This window comes from Homo sapiens, chromosome 18 (assembly GCF_000001405.40).
Source record: "Homo sapiens chromosome 18, GRCh38.p14 Primary Assembly".
NCBI classification, from domain to species: Eukaryota; Metazoa; Chordata; class Mammalia; order Primates; family Hominidae; genus Homo; species Homo sapiens.
Window position 1 is genome coordinate 63,181,337 of NC_000018.10, and position 22,290 is coordinate 63,203,626.

Consider the following 22,290-nt stretch of genomic DNA (forward strand, 5'->3'; position numbering starts at 1 on the left):
AACTAGGAGGTGCAAAACAAGCCCTGGAAGGCAGTAAAGCTCTGTGAGCAACACAGAATCTCTCTCTCTTAGCTTTGCGATTGGGACCTTCACCTGTAGAGAGGATCCCAAGCACTGGCCGTCAGAATCACCCAGGGCGCTTGGGAAAAATGCAGATGCCTGGACCCGTCAGTGAGCCCGGACCTCTGTGTTTCTTTTTAGCTCTCCTAAAACAACATTTCAGAACCACTGCCTTTCAGCACAGCAGAGAGAACGAAGTTATGGGGAGGGTTAACTTGAAATAGAGTTGTGGACTTCTTCTAAGGTCTATCATCATTAAGCTTCCCTTGCAGAATGTCAGACATGTGTCCAACTTCACCATCATCCTATCAAATCCACATGACAACCTGCAAGTACGATTTGACGTCTCTGTTTTGTGGATGAAGAAACAGAAGCTAAGAGACATTCCAGTGAACTCTGGATCTGGAAATCCACGGCTAGGAAGCAGTCTGTCTGATGGGAAGGGCAGATGCATGCAGGTTCCACAGAAGGAGCCCTGCCTCCTCTTCTGAGCCTCTCTTGGTTCCTCACGTCCAAGTGCAGGGTCAGAGATGGGGCAGGCACATCGTCCTTTTGCTGGGGATCTCCAGGCACCTGCTGGGGGGCACCTCCTTACTTCACCACCTCTGGCCAGCCCTTGATTTCTTCCTTCTCCCTGGTTCCAATCTTCTCCCCTTATCTTGCTCTGCCTTCCTCTTTCCTCCTTTCTCTTTTCCCAGAGAGTAGTTAGTCTCAATCTTGCAAACACAGTGAAATCACTTGGAGAGCACTGGGTCTTATCCTTAGGGAGTGTGGCAGAATTGATTTGGGGTGTGGCTTGGACACCAGAACTTTTAAATACTCCAGGCTGATTCTAGTGGACAGCCAAGGTTGGAAGCTGTTCCCTATCCAGAGCTGTCAGCCACAGCCTGCACAATCAGGAGATTCACCTGGACATGCTCAGGCTGAAGAGGGTCTGGCCACCAGCCCACGGTTTGAAACAGAGCCCTGTGAAGAAGGATCAGGTGGTCCCAGTGCCAGTCCAGCCACATCTGTACTGAGAAAACACAGAGCTACCACCAGCTGACCGCATGGAGCGAGGATCCTAACACCTGATGGACAAAATGCGTCCTTGGCTGGCCTCTGCAGAGAAGGGACTGTGGAAAAACATATGCTGCTCCCTTGAGACCGGGGGATGTCCACAGGGTGGGTGACAGGAAGAAGAGAGAGCAGCTACCACAGCCACCCTGCATATTAAACAGCCTGAAACAAGGGGTGGCTGTGCAAACTCCATTCTCCTGCCATAAATTAGACCATAAAACAGGCTTCATTGGCCCATTCTGCAAATCAACTCTGCAGTTTTATTACACACACAAACATGCATACCACATGTAGGACAAAAAAATTTTGCATAGAGTTCTGCTTTGCACTAATCTCTTTAAGGAAATTTTACAGACGGTAAATAAAACCTCATGTCCCTACCTGGGGTATTTGCCTGAAGATAAGAGCAACTCATTGCAAAAGGATTCCTGCTGTAAGACAGACTGTAGCCCATCAGGGGAGAGCAGGATGGAAACAGAGGCTTCCTGAAATACTTGAAGGGTTCTGCAAACTGTTGAAGCCACGGTACTGCCTGGAGCACTCAGCACCGAGCTGGGCATGCCTAGGTCACTGACGAATCTCTGTCAATGCACAAATGAGCAGATGCATGTCACACTGATGGTGGGGCTCAGACCCACCCCTTGCTATGGACAAGGAAGTGCTGGGGAAGGAAAACAAACACAAAACCTTCCACCCGAAGTAAGATCAGCTGGCAGATGAGCGTGCAGAAGGGGTAACAGCAACTCATGGAGGGCAAGCCACCAGAGAGGGCAGGAAATGACCCCTCTGGACACCTCCCTCTTGGCTGTGGGCTAGCAGTGAGGGAGAGAAAGAAGAGGGCAGGTGTCTGCTCCTCTATTGCTCCAGGAGAGGAAAATGCCCCCCACCCCCACCCAGGAGTTGGTGTTGTGGCTCACATCACAGCAGGCTTCATGGAAGTTGAGCTATTATGGCGAAGAGGGTGAGGTGGGGCACAGAGCTGTTTGGGACACAGGACTTGCTCTCCCCATGGGCATGGGACAGCTGTTCCTCATGAGAGACAGCTGCAGATGGGGCCTCCGCGCTTGGCCATCAGCTCAGCTGTGCCCGTGGGTACCTCAGAGGGCCAAAGCAGCCTCTAGATGAGAGAAAATTCAAAGACAACAAGAAGTAAACCAATTCTGAAAAAGGCGACTGAAGACAAGGGCTGGCAATGGCATCATTCCATGTGTGGAAGGAGTTCAGAAGAAAGGAAACACGCCATCGCCTTCTGCATGGGGCGGGGGCGGGGGGCTTAAACAGATGTCTGAGAATTGTATATGGACATCTGTAATCACACAGTTTCCATAGTAAACATTTGCCTGGAGAGAATTCTTTTGCTCTCTTCTTTTTCCCATCTCTTGTGTACATTAAACAGTGCAATTTATGTTAGCAAGAATAACCACACACCTCTCTCACCACCCTTCTTTGAGTGTATCTTAAGGCAGCACTCCATTATGCTGTGGAAGGAGCCTGCATGGGGCCCTGCCCTCAAACATACCATCCCCAGGACCACAGTGGCACAGACGCATGACAGAGCAGAAGAGAAAAAGGCCCCGCAAAGAAACAGAATGGTCCCAATCCTGAAGTGTTTGATTACAACTCAACTGAGTACCTGCAGGAGACAGAGCTACCAATCAGAGCAGGGACTCATCGGCTGCTGGTTGAGAGGCCAACGCTGGCCTTGGCCATGGATAAGGAGCCTTGACCAACTACCTAAGAAGACCTTGGGAATGCACGTGTGGGCTCAGCTTGACACCGACCCACTCTTCTAACTTCCTGTATTCAGATTCTGTGCTCACCAAGCTGCCTCTGCAGCATATCTGGCTTCCTAGGAAAACTTCCCTGCAGAGAGAGCATGGGCTGGCCAGGCAAGCATGAATATTAATCTGAAATATTCTCATTACAGATGAATACACTGGCATTCTTGTTTGAACACCTATATAGTTGGCTTTTAATGGGTGTCAGCCCCTAAGAGATGGATCTGGCCTTTGAGGGATGAACAGATCAGATCTTCAAGCATGCCAGGAGGAAGTCCATAGAGCTCTGCTTTGCACCAATCTCTTTAGGGAAATTTTGCAGACTGTAAATAAAACCTCATATCCCCATCTGGGGCATTTGCCTGAAGATAAGTGCAACTCATTGCAAAAGGATTCCTGCTGTAATACAGACTGTAGCCCATCAGGGGAGAGTAGGATGGAAGCAGAGGCTTCCTGAAATATTTGAAGGCTTCTGTAAACTGTTGAAGCCCCCCGACCATGATGAATTCAGCAAGTAATGCCATCCTTGAAGGCGCCTTGAGGGCCATACTCTTAGTCTTCCCCTGATGACATCCGAGTAAGTTGTTGAAAGTCTTTCTTGGCCACTTCTTGAATTTCTACCCTTCTTCTTGAATGTAGACTGTAGACTCAGAAACGACCCTGAGTTTTCCAGGGTCTGGATGTCTGAATGTGATCAATGTGGCCCCAGAAGCAGTGGGCATCTTGGTTCCACTCCTTAGCGACACTGCCAACTTCACAGCTGATAATCACTCCTGACCTGCTAAATCCTCTGGTCCTGTCCAATTCTGATCCAATCAGACTGAAAGCCAGGCAAGAAAGGCTAACCAGAGGGAGTTATGAGAGATGCTTGCTCTCACAGAACACAGGCTTTGGTTGGGAAGACATAACATATACATGAAATGGTCAAACATATTCAGTGTCACAAATGAAAATACAGCCCACACTGATCAAGAAGTGAGTAGGCCAGAATTGGGTGGCATTAATCTTAAAAGGATTTCTGAAGGAAGTATTTCTATGGAAAAGCAGTGTCGTGATAAAAGGACAGGTCTTCAGGTCAATTCTTTGGGTTCTAACGTCTGACTATTTGTGATTTCACAAAGTATGGTCAAGGCTAGGTGAGTGGGGTAGGAACAAAGTGCTTGACATACAGAGATGCTAAAAAAAGTGTCCTTACAAATATCCCTGCAAGGGAAAGGATGAGAAGAGACAAGAAGAAGAAAATCTGAAGTGTTTCCTTCAGGGCTAGCTGCTTTCCATATGGTATCTCATTTGATTCTCACAGTCACACTGTAAGATGTTTATTATCCTTTGCATCTTACAAAGAAGAAACCAAAGGTCAAGGTTAAGTAACCTATCTAAAGTCATTCTGCTGATCTGTGGCAGAGTCTAGGTAGTAACCCTCACTCTGTGTCAGGCATTATTCTAAATGTTTTATTTGTATTAATTATTTCGGCTTCACAACCCTATGAGGTAGGTACTATCCTTAACCCCACTTACTAAGGAGGAAACTGAGGCACAGAGAGGTTAAGTAACTTGCCCAAAGTCAACACAGCTAGTAAGTAACAGAGCCAGGACTTGAACCCAGGCAATCTGGGTCCTGAGTTTGGAATGCTAACCACTTTACTATCTTTTTCCATTACATATGCCATACTGCCTCTCTTTGAAGAATATTTATGAACAGACAAAACTGTCAAAACAGCTTGGAGCTTTAGGATGAATATTTTAAATATTATAAATCCCTCACTCGTAGGGGAGTGGTTGTTTGATATGGTTTCTGCTGATCACTCAGTAATCTATCCAAGACAGTGATGTGCACAGACTATTTTGGTTTCAGTTAATATATAGCACCATATAAACATTGACTCAACTGGAGAGCCTGAACAATAAATTATCACTAGCTCAAGTGCTAAAATAGCACTTGCTTTTCTCTGTGCCTGAGCATGCTATCTATTTATACTTTGCTTACTTCTGTGGAGTTCAAACTGCTTTATGCACATTTCATCATTGCTGTACTTACATGGATTTATTGTCTTTATTATACACATGTGACTAATGTACCACACAACGCTTAATATTTACTACAGGAATCTCAGTTTTCAACTAGCTTTTTAATCTATGGGTATTACTGACTGCCTTTAATTTATAATTAGTGGAAGTCTGCTAACAATAAAAACCATAGCATTTTACTGTTTATCTTTTAGCTCAATTCATTTTGTACATGATATGACCATTCTTGTTCTTGAGTATGAACCATATATTATTTTCTGGCCTTTCTTTACAATTCCACTTATGGCTGACCTTGAACCAGAATAGGTCTGTGATTTTACTTTCCAAAGTCCAATACATGTATTTTTCTTTTGTTCATGTTGATATCTGCATTGGCACACGTGAATTTCCAAATTTGGTCTTCACCTTTTCAGTTTTCATAGGCAAAAAATAAATTTGGATGATGCAATAGTCAGTAAAGAACTCCAAACAAAGGTTTTCTTGACTAGCTGGAGGATATATGGAAATCCCTAACTGTGGTGTATATAAACTGTAAACCCAAGTTTATACATTGTCAGGAGTTAATAGAACTTAAGATTTAGTAGCATTCTTTAGTACTAGATTCATAAAGAGAAATGAAGAAAGAATTGTCATTTGATGTTTTTGTCCTGACAAATAAAAATAGCCAACTGCTTAGCCCACAGCTGGGGCATTCTGTTTTCTTTTGTCTTCTTTTCATGTGAATATCCATCTTCATTATTGAAAACAGAAACTCCAACCTTAAGCATTTCCCTGTTTTTGCAAAAAGGATATTATATCAACAGTCCCTTTTAAGAACAGGAAGTTATCGTTTCATTCTACACAAGTCCCTACAGTTTTCATCTTGCCCTGGTGTGTCATCTGTCAGTGTGACTTTAGGAAGGTGAGACAGGTATGGCCAGATATGAGAGATTTTTAAAAGTCACAGTGTCAACAATGGTGTTATAAGGGGAGTGTTTAGTAACAGAGCCATTTATTTTAGGAATGTTTTTGTACCCTGGTAATCCTGATATGATAAGGCTTTAACAAGGTCAACTAAGTAACCTGTAGTCAATATCCTCATTCAAGAGAGGTCAGATGCTTGGGGACTCACAGCTGTACAGATGTACTGTGTGCCCTTTTATCTCTCCCTTATGCACATGCCGTTCTCTCTACCTAGATAAGTGGGCACCTCTACCTCTATGATTTCTCTTTCAGGACTCCGTGTAGTTATCATTTCCTCTAAAAAGCCTTTCCTAAAACCAAGTTGGATGTCTGTTTTGTGGGCACAGCCCCCTACACCCACCCCACTTATCCTAATGGGTTGAAAATACCAGGAAAAACTTCAGATAAAGACCATGCCCCAGTAAATAGCTGAATAAAGAACAGGTGAAGGGTGTCAGAAAAGCAAGAAATGGAGACAGAGGCTTGGAATGGTCTTCCTAGTATTGTTGTTGTTACCTCTACATGGCCACCCTGGGGGTACACGTGGAGCTGTGGAAATCTCTAAAATCAAAACCAGGCCAGGCTTAGAATTAGTTCGACTAATACAGATTACGTTACTTGAATGTTTTCAAATGCAGATTTTGCTTTTTTATTTTTCTTTGCTCTTTATCTCATTAAAATAAACAGTGGTATGGCATTCCCATTTGAACCAGGTCCAGCTCTGAAAGCTGGAGCAGTCTTCAGATGGCATGCTCCATTTGGCCCCTGCTCATAGGGCTGGCGTTCAGACCATGGAAATATCAGCAGAATCGAATGCACTTGGGCAGTTTCCATAAACTTTGTAAGTATACGATCAAAGTTAAGACAAATGGGAAACACAGAATAATTAATAACAATGGTGAGTGGAAAATGCTAGCAAGCCATAACAATCCAAAGCATGTTTTCTATCTCTTTTTAAGCAGCTATCTGTCTTACCCACAAAGACACTGCCTGAAAAATGAATTCACCAGCTCTATATCTGAGGCAGAATGACATATGGAAATAGTACAGTCTTTGGCGTTAGACCTGAGTTTCAGTGCTAGCTCTGAAACTTACTTGCTGGCTGCATGGCTTTAGCAAGTTCCTTAAGATGGCAGGGCCTCTGCTTCCTCATCAACTTTTACAATTTTGGAGGTTTAGAGAAAATATAAGTACAAGTGTTTAGCACATCATAGGGGTTCAATAAGGGATGACTAGTGCCATCATCATTATCTTCAACACTACTGAAGAAACAGTAAAATAATCAGTTTGGAAATTATGAATGACCCTAAACTGAATTGGAGTTTAATTATATAGGTGATAGAAATAAAGATTGGAATAAGCAAATTAGAACATAAACTGGAAAATATTTAACAAATGTAAGAAAGCAAACTTTTGAATAATTTAATTATACTCATTTTACCATAATACTATGTATACATCAACAAATCTTAATTTGTATTAATTTGTAATAATATTAATTTCAATTTATAATACTCATAATCCTTAAATTATATATTAGCTGAACAGTATATTATATATCCTTCCAGAAAATGCTATGAATATACATGCATTTGTATATGTATCTAATTTTTTTCTCATCAATAAAATAATATTATCCATACAGACTTCCACTTTTTCCCTCTACAATAAATCTCAGACATTTTAAAATGTGAGTTCATATGTATCCATCACCTTTCTTAATAGCAGCATTTTATTTCATATCAGTTTACCAATTTAGCCAGTACCCTACACAGACATTTCTTTTTTTCCCCAAGTTTTTTTTTTTTTTTTGCTGCAAAATTAAAATACATAATGCTGTAATAGACATCCTTACACATAGGTAGAAAAAACTTGTAGAAGTGAAATTACCAAGACAAAGGCTATGTAAACTTAGCATTTTCAAAATTAAGGTCAAAGCGCTCTCCAAAAACTTTACAAGAATTTACCCTCCCATTAACAGCATATAAAAAAAAAAAAAAAAGAAAAAGAAAAACAACCTAGGCTTTTTTACACTTGCTTCTCCCAACTCTCTCTGTCTAGGCTTGTCCCAGGGCAGAAGGTACAATCCAGTCATACTAATAACTGATTTAAAGGGTCACCATTCAGCATTTAGCCATAATTCATGATAGTTCCTTGTAGTTATCTTCTGTTGTTGCTTAGTCTGAAACCATAAACAACGCTGGAGGTCAAAAAGTTCCTGCTTGTCCTAGGTTAGGTATATCAAGTTCCTCTAGTTGAAGGTCCCTTAACTATGTAGGAAGAGCTCCCCCACCCCTAAAAGAAAAAAGCAAAAGTAAACCAAACCAATCACAGATAAACTGAGTCAAGTCATCTTGTATGTACTGAATGTTTTTCTGCGTTAGGCTCAGCACTAGGGGGCTTTTCATACATTATCTATTTTAGGTTCTACGTATTTTTGAGGAAGCCCCCCAGATTGCCGAATTATACCTGGGAAAACGAGAACTGGTGTCCCACCCCCCACCCACCGCATCCAATGAAGTGCTGCTTTCAATCAGCAAAAACAGGCCATCCCACTATCAGCCAGAAATCCCTATTAACAGCCGTTTCTGAGATAACTGATGTTCTCCGTGTGACTCTGAGGCTTGGTGAGATATTTAAGTGTCTTTTAAGTCATTAGAAGAGATAAATATGTGTTCAGTATAGTTGTGGTGTCAAGTATATTTTGTTGTATTTGAATTCTATAAAAATCTGTTGTGGAAAAGTGGTCTATTGGGTATTCCCAGATTAAATAGAATGTTGAACTAACCAGAATACGTCACTCTTCTAGCTGCCTGGGGGTTTACTGCACTTAAGATAAACTGGGATTTACCATATTACTCAGCCCTGATCTTGGCATCATAAATCTTCTCTTCACTTCACTCTCACTGTCACACTGAGCGAAAGAATAGAGGCCCCCTCTCCCAGGATAAAAAAATGTGAAAAAGGGTAATTTCCCATCATTCTCCCTAAAAAGAATCCCATGTAAGACTGTTGAATCCACCCTAAATAATAATCTCCAAATTAACAATTACCACCCTGAGATGAGAGCAAATAAAAAATTGGATTGGAATGCAGAGCTTGACAAAATGATTCCATGCCACGGGACATTCTCTGTGATTTGCGAATACAAATGATAGCCCATTCTTTATTTAAAACATCTTTTCTAAGGTCAGGTTTTTGAAACTTAATCTACATCTTCTCTCTAAATTAATAAGGTTAGATCCCAAGTACAAAGGAATGTCCCATGAAGTATCAGAAGCTGGACACCAATAGTATTGTGAGATATAAGTCAACATTTAAAGTCCACTTTTCACTTTCAGATGGCAGGGACACAACTGCCACCCAGCCCATGCTCCCTGCAAGGGAAGAAGGGATTCTCCCTTCCTGAGGGTCAAGCCCCTGGAGATTGTTCTCAACCCTAGAAACCATGGGCCTGCCCCAGTAAGTGAAAGTCTTATTTTACTTTATTTATTTTTTAAAATTTTACTTTAAGTTCTGGGATACATGTGCACCATGTACAGGCTTGTGACATAGGTAAACGTGTGCCATGGTGGTTTGCTGCACCTATCAACCATCACCTAGGTATTAAGCCCCACATGCATTAGCTATTTGTCCTGATGCTCTCCCTCTCCTCGCCCACCCTCAACAGGCTCCAGTGTGTTGTTCCCCTCCCTGTGTCCATGTGTTCTCATTGTTCAGCTCCCATTTATAAGTGAGAACATGCAGTGTTTGGTTTTCTGTTCCTGTGTTAGTTTGCTGAGGATGATGGCTTCCAGCTTCATCTATGTCCCTGCAAAGGACATGATCTTATTCCTTTTTATGGCTGCATAGTATTCCATGATGTACATGTACCACATTTTCTTTATCCAGTCTATCATTGAGGGGCATTTGGGTTGGCTCCATGTCTTTGCGATTGTGAATAGTACTGCAATAAACATACATGTGCATGTATCTTTATAACAGAATGATTTATATTCCTTTGGGTATATACCCAGTAATGGGATTGATGGCTCAAATGGTATTTCTGGTTCTAGATCCTTGAGGAATCGCTATACTATCTTCCACAATGGTTCAACTAATTTACATTCCCACCAACAGTGTAAAAGCATTCCTATTTCTCCACAGCCTTGCCAGCATCTGTTGTTTTTTGAAGTCTTTATTTTATTTATTTTTATTTTAGCAACTATAATAACTTGGTCTTCTAAGGACAGACCCATCTTCAACTGAATTCCACTTCTGAGGCAGAAAAAACTTTGTGAGATTCCAGTATATTCAAAAACAGTTAATTTGTATTCAGTAGTGTCACTAACCTACTCATATGAAAAAACACTTTGTGTGTATGAAATACATCACACTTTAAGTAGCTGAGGTGGGTTTCTGGTGAAATCACTCATTGTAGGCATCCATGCATAAGCAGCTGCTTACTGAAGAAGTTAAGCCAGCCTTGGAGTTCAGGATAAGCCCTAAAGGTTTCTGATGTGTTAAGTGGAGATTCTGAAATCTGTGCCAGAGAGTAGGTTTTAGGCCGGTGCATTTGCAAATCACTGGAAAAAGCAGTGCATTTGAACCCCCTCAGGACAGACTGTTGCATGTGATTAATTAATCTCTGACCAATCAGAAATAACTAAGCGTTGAGGCTGAAATATGAAATTAAAAAAGAAAATTGGCCTAGTCTTCATTTCTTTTGCATTATTAAAAAATAACCTACAAATACGTTTGTTACATTTAAATCATCTACAGCCTGAGTGCCTCCTTCCTTCATTTGACAAACTACTCATTGAACTACTATGTGCAGGGTGCTCACCTAGGGCTTGGGAGCACTGTCGGGACTATGACAGGCATGGTCCCTGCTTTCATGGATCTCAAAGAATAAACAAGCACAGCATTGACTGTATAGAAATATTCAGAGAATTAAAGTAGGGTGATAGGAGAGGGAATGATTGGGTGTTCCAGGGGAGCCTCTCAAAGGAAGTGACATTTAAGCTGAGATTTGAAAGGCAAGAAGGAGCCAGCCCTGGGAAAGTTAGGGGCAGTACAATGTAGGCAGAAGTCACAAGTAGTGGAAGATCCCAAGGAGGGAGCAACCTGATGTGTTTGGAGGATCAGGAAGTCAGTTCGAGTGGCCCACAAGCAATGGGGGAGTGTGCAGTTGGTGAGAGCTGAGGCTTGAGAATCAGTGCGAAGGCAGTGTAAGATTTTGGAAATCAGATCGAGAGCCTGGATATTATTCTAGGATGACGGGAAGTATTTGGGGTGATAAGACAAGCTAAAAAGCATGGCCCATACATCTTTTCCACAAAGACCCCAAACTAGAGAGATGGCCAACAAGATGGCAGGTGTCCTGAGGTGCACGTCTATCCCTTGGTGCCCCTCACCCAAAGAGCCAGACTCTTGAAAGCACTGATGGCAGCTGGCTCCTTGGAATGACATCACCAGGGGATACCACGGCCACAGCACTTGCCATTGCATCAGCTCCAACCTGGTCAAGACCTACATCATCAAGACCTCCTCCTTCACCCCTGCCCCAGCATCCAGACTTAATACAGCTTCTCACTCCTCCCCAGAAATGCTTCCCTGTCTACTTCTGCATTTTCAATACACAGAAGGGTTTTGTCCCCAAGCACTGACAGATTCCATACTTCTGTGTAACTAATTTTGGCCAAAAATATTTTCAATATCTTTGAAATTCTGAATGCGTTTCATCAAGGAAACAAGGGTAATCAATTCTACAGCCATACTTGTTTCATGTATGAAGAGAAAAACTCCCAAATAACACCCCGTGATGAAATGTCACACTCAACCATTAAAGACCTATTTTTAGCAAAGTCAACCGCTGAGTTCTCAGCCAAATGAAAGGTCATGTGTTATCTGAGAAGCACATGTTACTGTGGTCATCAAATTGCTAATCTGGGGCAAGGTATTCCATGGAAGATGCCTGTTATGAAAGGAGAGTGTACTGTAGTGATTACTGCTATTCAGAAATGAGGATCAATCTACAAAAATGATAAGGAGAACATGAACTTAACAACTACATTTCAAATGATGTTTTAAACATGTCCATTAAAGTGACATTTGTGTGTGTCTGTGTGTGAGTGTGTGTGTTAAGAACTCTTAACATGAGATTTGCTTATTCTTTATTCCTGTTGAAGGGCAACTCCCCATTTCTCTCTTCCCCTAGGCCCTGACAACCACCACTGTGTTCTCGGCTTCTGTGAATTTGGCTACTGTAGATGCTCATATAAGTGGAATCATGCAGTATTTGTCCTTCTGTGACTGGTTTATTTCACTGAGCATGATGTCCTCAAGAATCATCCATGTAGTTGCATATGAAAATATTCTTAAGGCGGAGTAGTATGTATGTGTGTGTGTGTGTGTGTGTGTGTGTGTATACACACACACACATACAAATACACACACACATATATATACACATACATATATATACACACACACACACATTTTCCGTATCCATGCATCTGTGAAATGACATTCCTTGATATATATTATTAGTGGACAAAAATGTGCCCTGAGGTTTCAGTATGGTGGTCCATATATCAAACATATGGTTCTAAAATGATATCATCACATCTAGCATGGTATTGAAAAGACTGATGTAGATTTATTTCCTCACTAGTATGACCTTAAGCAAGATATATTATATTCCTAAATCTTGGTTCTTCATCTGTAAAAAATAAAAATAATCATATTCATCTTTCACAGGGCTGCTGTGATGATTAAATGAGATAAACCACACAACACAGCATATGACATAGTCACTGATATTCAATACATATGAGTTCCCTTTTCCTTTAGCTCTCTGCTCCCACAGTAATCCAAATTTTTGGCAAGCTAATAGTTTTTATTTTTCGATACAGTTATTAGCACCATCCAATCCCATATAAACCACAAACAGGCTGGAATTTTTGTCTATTTGTTTGATGCTGAAGCAGAAAAGTGTCTGCCAGATAGTAGGTGCTCAATAAATAGCCATTGAATGAAATGAATGAATGGGAAGTTACACTGGAATGAGGCTGAATGTGAAGGTCAGTCAAATATCTTAGCAGAATTATTGGATATGTTTTTAATGGAAGAGATACATTTTTAAACTTTTTTCTTTTTTTTTTTTTGAGATGGAGTCTCACTCTATTGTCCAGGCTGGAGTGCAGTGGCATGATCTCGGCTCACTGCAACCTCTGCCCCACAGGATTCAAGCAATTCTCCTGCCTCAGTCTCCCTAGTAGCTGGGATTACAGGCGTGCGCTACCACGCCCAGCTAATTTTTGTATTTTTAGTAGAGACGGGATTTCACCATGTTGGCCAGGCTGTAATAATATAGTGATTATTATAGTATACTCTATACTGTAGCATAGAGATTGAGGTTGGCACATCTCACATATGACTATGAATACCCAATCATTATGCTTATGAACTACAAAAAAATCAGCAGATAACTTACAAGTGCAGCCATGTTACAAAATAATTAAGTATAAAAACCATCTAATAAAGACAGCAGTGGTCCCACTAAACTCTGTGATATTTTAACCATAAACAAAGCATTAATGGGAAAAGTCTGATCCCAAGGGTTCCTGGATCAGCAGTAGGTCAGTGATACCCAGGAGAGCAGGAACCATGGCGTATAAGGCTTGCCTTGGACTCAGCTTCAGGATCTGAGAGTCGGCCTGGGGAAGTCCTGGTAACCTGCAAGGTCACCTCTATAGAAGAGCCAGTGGTGGCAGGCATCGCCTCTCCAGCTCTTCCAGCTTATTTTCCCATGATAGTGCAGTGATATATCATTTTAGAATTATGATTCTAGAATTATGTAGTCACATGGAGGGGGCATACCCAACATCACAGTGGATGGAAATCGACCAGAGTGACCCCAGAACACCAAGAAAACATCATAGTGGGGATGGAAACCTCCCTTGCTCACAAAGCTGGGGATTGGGAGCTAACTCTGCCACCAACAAGCTGTGTAGCTTTGGGTAAGTCATTGAATCTTGGTCCAGCAGGCCTTGGTTTCATCATCTGTCATTTATCAATACAGGCCGCTTTCATCTCTATCTCCTCACTTCAGAAGTCCCATGCCTGGACTGTGGCGGCCCTGGCTGGTATCCCTTCCCATGCCTTGCTGTTTTGGAAAAGTTACATGTGTAGAAACTACAGATGGTAGTAGGGGAGACAATAAGGAAGAAAAAGTCACTCCTTCACCTTCTTTTAAAGTACTATGCTCACAACTGCTCACATCTGGCACACTTCAATAGCAATCACTTGCAAGGTCCAAAAATCTTGAACCATGAAAGTGAAAGAAGGAGCTTTATCTTCAAAAGGAAAATTAAAGACCTGGAGAGGACCACTTGGGACCTTTTTATTACACCTAGATAATGGCAGGTATTATTGCTCTATGCAGCAGTATGTTTTTATGAATAGACTAACACACACCCTTAGGCTGTAAAATAGTGCTTTAGGATATAACATGTTGATTCAGATACAAAATAAAATACTGTTTGTATTGTAGGCTTTTAATGAAAAGTCTAAAAACACACCTATTTAACAAACCTCTATTTTTATAGGGCCTGCCTAAAAAAGCCTGCTTTAAAAAAAATCTAAGTATGGGTGGTCTCACACCTAGAAGTGGCACAAGAATCCTTTGTCAGACGACGTGTCTTAATTTTTGCCATGGAAAATGTGGTCACCATAATTATAGCCCAGAGAAAATAAAAGGTTTTTAAAATTCCATGCAGGAGGGGAATAAGAGTTTGTTAGCATTCAATAAAACTATAATTTAACCAGCTTTTAGGTACAGCGGAATCAGCAGTTAAATTACAGCACTGGACAATTCTCTATTTTACCTTGTGGCTATTTGTCGAAGTGTCTTATTTCCTCTTGGAGACCTAAGCTCCTTGGGAACAAATGCCAAGTTATCTGTATCCCTGTAACCTCTACCAGACCTGGTACACGGTTTGTTTTTTGTGTTCAATGAACCACAAAGAATCTTTCAGGAAAAATCACTTGAGAAATATTTCAGAGTAAGAGGAAATCAATGCATAACTTGTTAAAAACTATTTTCTTAGGCTGAAAGATATTTCAAATACACATTTTAAAAGGTTCATTTATGGAAAAAGTTCAGTTGTGCAGGCTCTGAAATGAGATTTAGCCAAGAAAAGCATCAATACTAATTAAGTATTGATAAAGAAGGAGGGGGGAGTTTAGCTAGGTAACTTAGTCACTTGGTTACTAAAACCTTCTTCTCGATGGAAAGAAACCATTAGAGATTGAGCGACTCATATTGAAGGAGGAGCTATAATGCAATCGTTTCTCTCTATGTATGGTCTTTTTTTTGGCTTTGAAATAAAAGGGTCAAAGGTAAATGAGCCTATTGAAAATTAATGAGAGCTGAACGCTGCATGCTGTTAATATGCTCACTTAACTCAGGCATCAAGAAAGAACCGTGCGGCCCTTTATCATACGGGATAAAATACAAAAGCCTTTATATACAATTTTTGTTTGTCAATTAAAAATAACTAAATAAAAATTTTAAAAACTTTTTTAAATAAAAGCTTTCCAGGAAGGTTGGGCGCAGAAGGACCTGAAGTTTCCTGCACATGGAAACATCATAGTTATGAGTTTTTCTCAGCTTGGATTTCCTGTATTTCTCAGATTTCTTAACTCCACAGTGCAACTTACTTTCCCTCTAACCATGAATATGCATCAATCAGAAATTCCAATATTTTAGCATCTGAACTCCATCTTCCTAACTGCATCTCATCATCAGAAGTAGCCAAAAAAAGGTCTTCTTCAAATCTATCTTCTTCACGTTTTGATTTCTTGCAACAGAAATAGGATGACGATAAATACAGGTGAGAGAAAATAATGTTTTCCCGAAATAGGTAAGAAAGTTATGGCTTGTTGACATGTGGCTGCCAAACACACATGGGTGGAAATCGATTTGAAGGGTTTGGGTCTGTGTAAAGATGCTGCATGACCTTCAGAGTCCAACCCGGCTAAGCGCCCCCTGCCACTTCCTAGCTGTGTGACCACTGACAAATCGTTCACTTTCTTTGAGCTGCTGTCTCCTGGTCTGAAAATGGAGCAAATGCTCGTACCTGCTACAGGTGTTCAGGGCTCAGACAGTGCAAGTCACAAGCTTATAGCAGCACCGTGTCTGTCATGTGGTGAGAACCCACTACATGGTGGCTATTTCTGGTGTCATCTTCTGCAGCAATTTGTCCTGCTTGAATTGTGCAGAATGCAATCAAATGCCAAACTCTTCTTGCATTTTCAGTGACAATCCTCTGGTGACAGCTACCTCAGAGGACGGTGTCTGTGAGGCGCCAGTCACTCCTACAGTTGACTCCCCCATGTCCACGTCTGCTCAATCAGGGGAACGGTCACAGCAGGAACAGAAAAGGGAAGGGAGAGAGGAAAGGAGGGAGGGAAAAAGGGAGAGAAAGGAGGAAGAAAGGAAGAAGGAAGTGAGGGAGGAGGAAGCTTTCATAAGATGATGTAATATTCAATTTCCCATCCTCATTCTTTGCCAATCGTCACCAAATATTTTGAATTCAAATGAAAAGCATGTTAGTCAGACATTGAGGGGTGAACCTGTCCCCTGTGAGAGAGCATAGTTTTGTTGGCAAATGGGAGTGGAGAGTAGAAAAGAAATATAAAACAAACAGAGACTCCAGTTAAACTGATCTGTCTTCCTCAGTCTGGTGTGGGATTTTCTCCATTGAAAATTTCTGTTTCTTAATATTGTATCATAAGGTGGATTTTATTTGAGCTTTTCAGGTTATTTGGTCTTTCTTTTGTAAGAAAGTAGTTTATTTGTTTTCACAACAAAGCAGAGTGGCTTCTGGTTGAGGAAGGAGAGAACTATGAGTTGAAGGAAGACGGTTTTGCATGACTATGCTATGCCCCTGTATACGCAAAGATGTAGAGACACACACACACAGACATACACACACACACACACACAGAGACACACACAGACACACACAAACACACACAGACACACACTGACATAGAGACACACACACAGACACACACTGACACAGAGACACACATAGACACAGAGACACACACAGACACACACTGACACAGACACAGAGACACACACACAGACACAGAGACACACACAGACACACACTGACATAGACACACACAGACACCCATTGACACACAGACACACATAGACACAGAGACACACACAGACACACACTGACACACAGACACAGAGACACACACAGACACACACTGACAGAGACACACACAGACACACATTGACACACAGACACACATAGACACAGACACACATTGACACACAGACACACATAGACACAGACACACATTGACACACAGACACATAGACACAGAGACACACACACAGACACACACTGACACACAGACACAGAGACACACACACAGACATACACAGACACACACAGACACAAAGACACAACAGACACAGACACACACACTGACACACAGAGACACACACACACAGACACACACAGACACAGGGACACACACAGACACACACTGACACAGAGACACACAGACACAGAGACACAGACACACACTGACACAGAGACACACAGACACACAGACATACACAGACACACATAGACACAGAGACACACACAAAGACACACAGTGACACACAGACACAGAGACACACACACAGACATATACAGACACACACAGACACAGAGACACACACTGACACAGAGACACACACAGACACACACTGACACACAGACACAGAGACACCCACAGACATACACAGACACACACAGACACACACTGACATACAGACACAGACATACAAAAGACACACACACTACACAACACATGCACACATAGAGACACACAAATGCACACACACAACACACACACAGACCCATGTACAGGCACAGACACAGAGACGCAGACACACACACCACACACATCACATAGACACATACACAGACACGCACAACACACAGACACACACAACACACACACTACACAACACATGCACACAGAAACACACAGACAAATGCACACACACAACACACACAGACACATGCACAGACACAGAGACACACACATATACTACACAACATGCACACACAAGACACACAGGCACACAGACACAGAGACACACACAACACACACAGACATGCATAGACACACACAACACACACAGCCATAAACATACAAACACTACACAACATAGGCACATACACAGAGACACACGCAGACAAATGCACATAGACAACACACACAGAGACACATGCATACACAGACACAGAGACACACACAACACACAGACACATGCACAGACCCACACACACAGATACCACACAACACACACACAGATACAGACACAACATAGACACACATACAACACATGCACAGACACATACACAGAGACACACACATACACGCAGACACATGTACACAGACATACACACAGGTACAGACACGCAGACACACTACATATGCACAGACACACAGACACTGGCACAGAAACACATGGAGATGACACAGACATAAACACACAGACGCACACGTATACACCATAGTGAGGCTCATCCCACTTCTGTGCTGTGAGTGGCATAATCTCTTATTTCCTTTTTCAATCAAGAAACCCTGACATTTCCAACCACCACACATGGGGTAAATACGGTAGCACGGACCAAAACCGTAACAAACAAAACAACGCGCACACATGCACACACACACACGCACACACACACACACGAAGGATATTTTCAAGCAAGCCAGTCTCTCATGAACTTTTCAAGGCTCAGCTCGTAACCTTAGTTCCAGACGTATACCTCTGACTGTTTCCAACATGTTCCTGTTTTGTTTGTTTGGGTTTACTTGCCTTCGTTCTGCAGGAAGCCCTCACAGATATGACAGGGTGATTTAATTCTGCACAAACCTCGCCTCCCTCAGTTCTTAGAATGAAGATAGATACCACTACCGGTATTCTTAGAGTTAGACTTACACAGCCTCCCACACCAAACAGAGTGAAGCAGAACCCACATTTCACTGGAATCCTTACTTTTAGGTATTTGCAGGTTTTTCTTTATGACACAGGAAACCAAATATGAGGTACCATTGCAGATAGTAATAAATGGGCTTCTAAAATGTTCCCAGTGGCTGGCAGAACAATAACTGATTTATATCCCAAAAGGGGCAATACATCTGACCCCTTACACTTTGTAAAGGAAAGGAAGATTCTAGACACTCTTTTGTCAGGTGTTCAAATTTATTCAGGACAACAGATTGTCAAAGCCATCTTTGAAGGGACTGGCAAAAGTTTCTCCCTACACTCCCGCGTATAAGACAGTCAAGAGCCAAAAATGATAGAGTTGGCAGTGGGCCATGGGATGGGAAAACAAATCAAGCTTTATTTTTTGTTTTGTTTTCTTTTAGAGCCAGGGTCTTGCTCTATCACTCAGGCTGGAGTGCAATGGTGCAACATAGCTCAACACGGGTGGGAGAAAACTCATCAACTCCTGGGAAAAAGTGATTCTCCCACCTCAGTTTCCCAAATAGCTGGGACACGCCTGGTTAATTTTTTAATATTTTTATAGAGATGGGGTCTCGCTAGGTTGCCTAGGCTGGTCTTGAACTCCTGGGCTCAAGTGATCCTCCCACCTCAGCCTTCCAAAGTGCTGAGATACAGGCATGAGCCACTGCGCCTGGGCCAAATTGAGCTTTGAATGAAGGGGTCCATTCCTATGGAGCTAATGAATCCGCTGCATCCTCAGCTCCAGCAGGCACGGGATGTTTGAAACAAGCCAGGCATAACCTGCACCAAATGGGCAATGTGCAGGCAGCATTACGGAGCAGAAGTCAAGTGACAGGCTGGGGGGTCCACGGTCTTGATGATTTCTGCTCCTGCTGCTACGCTGATAGCCAGTTTACTGACGTACACATAGAGACCACTCTTAACCGCAGGCTGAATTGTCCCTACCAAGCTATCTGCACCTTGAGCATATAACAAACCATTGTGAGAAAAGTTAAATTTTTTTCACCCAATTCTGACATTTAAGACTTTCTGTAAGATGGCCAAAATGTCTTAAGACCCAAATTCCTGAAAGTCTTTCAAAAGACGCTAGTCAATTCATCCTTATAACCCTCCCTTTTCCCACCGCCCCTAATAGAAAGTACCTTGGGGGAATCTCCTTTGGTTAATACATAAGTAAATTAAGGAGATGACTTTCCATGATTTTACGGAATCAGTGACTCTTAAATAAATCTCTTTAAAAAGGAAATAAATGTGTCTTCATAGTAGAAGGATTTATGCACATGTATGTTTGTTGTGGCACTATTCACAATAGCGACGACTTGGAACCAACCCAAATGTCCATCAATAATAGACTGGATAAAGAAACTGTGGCACATATACACCATGGAATACTATGCAGCTCTAAAAAAGGATGAGTTCATGTCCTTTGCAGGAACATGAATGAAACTGGAAACCATCATTCTCAGCAAACTATCACAAGAACAGAAAACCTAACACCACATGTTCTCACTCGTAAGTAGGAGTTGAACAATGAGAACAACATGAACCTAGGGAGGAGAACATCACACACTGGGGCCTGTTAGGGGGTGGGGGTCTAGGGGAGGGATAGCATTAGGAGAAATACCTAATGTATGTGACAGGGTGATGAGTGCAGCAAACCACCATGGCACGTGTATACCTATGTAAGAAGCCTGCACGTTCTGCACATGTACCCCAGAAATTAAAGTATAATAATAATAATAAATTCTACAATGAAAAAAAGGAAATAAATGTATTCCTTTGGCTGGGCACAGTGTCTCATGCCTGTAATCCCAGCACTTGGAGAGGCCGAAGCAGGCGGATCACTTGAGGTCAGGAGTTTCTGACCAGCCTGGCGAACATGGTGAAACCCTGTCTCTACTAAAAATACAAAAATTAGCCAGGCATGGTGGTGCATGCCTGTAATCCCAGGTACTTGGGTGCCTGAGGCAGGAGAATCACTTGAACTCAGGAGGCGGAGGTTGCAGTGAGACGAGATCGGGCCACTGCACTCCAGCCTGGGCGACAGAGCAAGACTCAGTCTCAAAAAAAATAAAATATTCCTACATTCACATAACATTTGTTAGAATACTGGCAGCACAATTTTATGACAACTACTTCACTAAGATTTAGAAGACCTGGTCTGACTCAGAACAACTGAGGCCACTTACCTAACCTGTCTGTACCTCTGTTAACTCATTCCTAAAATGGTGAGGCCTGGACAAGACGGTTTGTAAGATAATTTTCAGCTCTAACATTTTGTGACTATATATTTATGCAGATTCTACTTGTAAAAGACACGCTGTTAGATGCCACAGAGACAAACATGCAAAGACATGATCTGTACCTCGTTCTGTTTACAGTATTATTGCTTGGCTGTATTTCCAAACTTCCATCATAGGCTACTTTGATTAGGCATCAAATTTCTATCTTTCTTTAACTCTCTTTGATGTTTAGAGGTTCTTAGACAAATGGGGATCAGTACCATATGCACAGGCTTTGCCTAAACATCTTTATATTCACCTTCACTCTGTGTGTCTTGTGCAGCCATGGTTTTCTTGGCACCCAACACCATCAGGGGCTCTCTAAACAAGGACTATGTTGGCCTGCCCTGCTGTGTCTTGGGAATTCTATAATATAGCTTAATTCTTGCCCCCGGAGTGGATTTCTTCTCCTCTCTTCTCCCTCAAGAACAAGCGTCCTGGCCTACAGCCTGCAGCCTGGGGACTGGCGACCTGCTTGAAAATCTGTGCATGTCGGACCTGTCAGCATCCAGGCTGGGGAAAACAGGCTGCCCTTGAGCAGAACAGCTTTGCTAATCAATCACGCTTCAGGAAAGTGGGTGGTTTGTATGTGAGGCCCACTTTGCCAGGACCAAGCCCCTTACGAAAACGTCTGAGTGTGAATTAAAAGAAAGAAAACAGTCTACCTTCTGCATCCATTGCGGGAGGGCCAGACAAGGTTTTATTTAAAAAAACTCCTCTTTTCTGAAGTCTGAAAGCAAGACCCTGGGCTTAAAGAGAATTCCTCCGTCAAGATTTACTAGAGGCTATGATCAGGAGATGGAGCTCTCAACCTGGATGCCAATGACATGTGTAAAACAAGAGAAAACTTCAGGGAGGTTCCCCACCTATTCAGAAATTAGAAATTAACTACTTATATATTTTTAAAAAGAGCCTCCTGAGGTGATATCATATATGATTGTGATTGTACTAGCAAAGCAATTAGCAAGTTGAGCACATGTATATCTTTAGAAGCTAAGCCAGATACAAGATACAAGTCCCTACTAGTAAGATGCGATTAATGGGACAACGTCAAGTTTATTGTCACAGGGCTGGGTATATATTCTGGCTATTACTTGTT

General features: G+C 42.0%; 1 protein-coding gene and 1 pseudogene across 2 annotated transcripts in view, besides 2 other annotated features; both read right to left on the minus strand.

The window, feature by feature from the left end:
• The window catches only part of BCL2 (BCL2 apoptosis regulator), a 196,745-nt gene that overhangs the window by 57,991 nt on the left and 116,464 nt on the right, over positions 1 to 22,290 (minus strand). The window lies entirely within an intron of this gene.
• Positions 668 to 717: an enhancer, noted in NCBI's record as "active region_13462". NCBI's record gives its function as "activates an Ori minimal core promoter by ATAC-STARR-seq in GM12878 lymphoblastoid cells {active_cell/tissue: GM12878}" and the evidence as "EXISTENCE:reporter gene assay evidence [ECO:0000049][PMID:35858748]".
• Positions 13,249 to 13,329, minus strand: LOC124904379 (uncharacterized; annotated as a pseudogene).
• Positions 16,222 to 16,281: an enhancer, noted in NCBI's record as "active region_13463". NCBI's record gives its function as "activates an Ori minimal core promoter by ATAC-STARR-seq in GM12878 lymphoblastoid cells {active_cell/tissue: GM12878}" and the evidence as "EXISTENCE:reporter gene assay evidence [ECO:0000049][PMID:35858748]".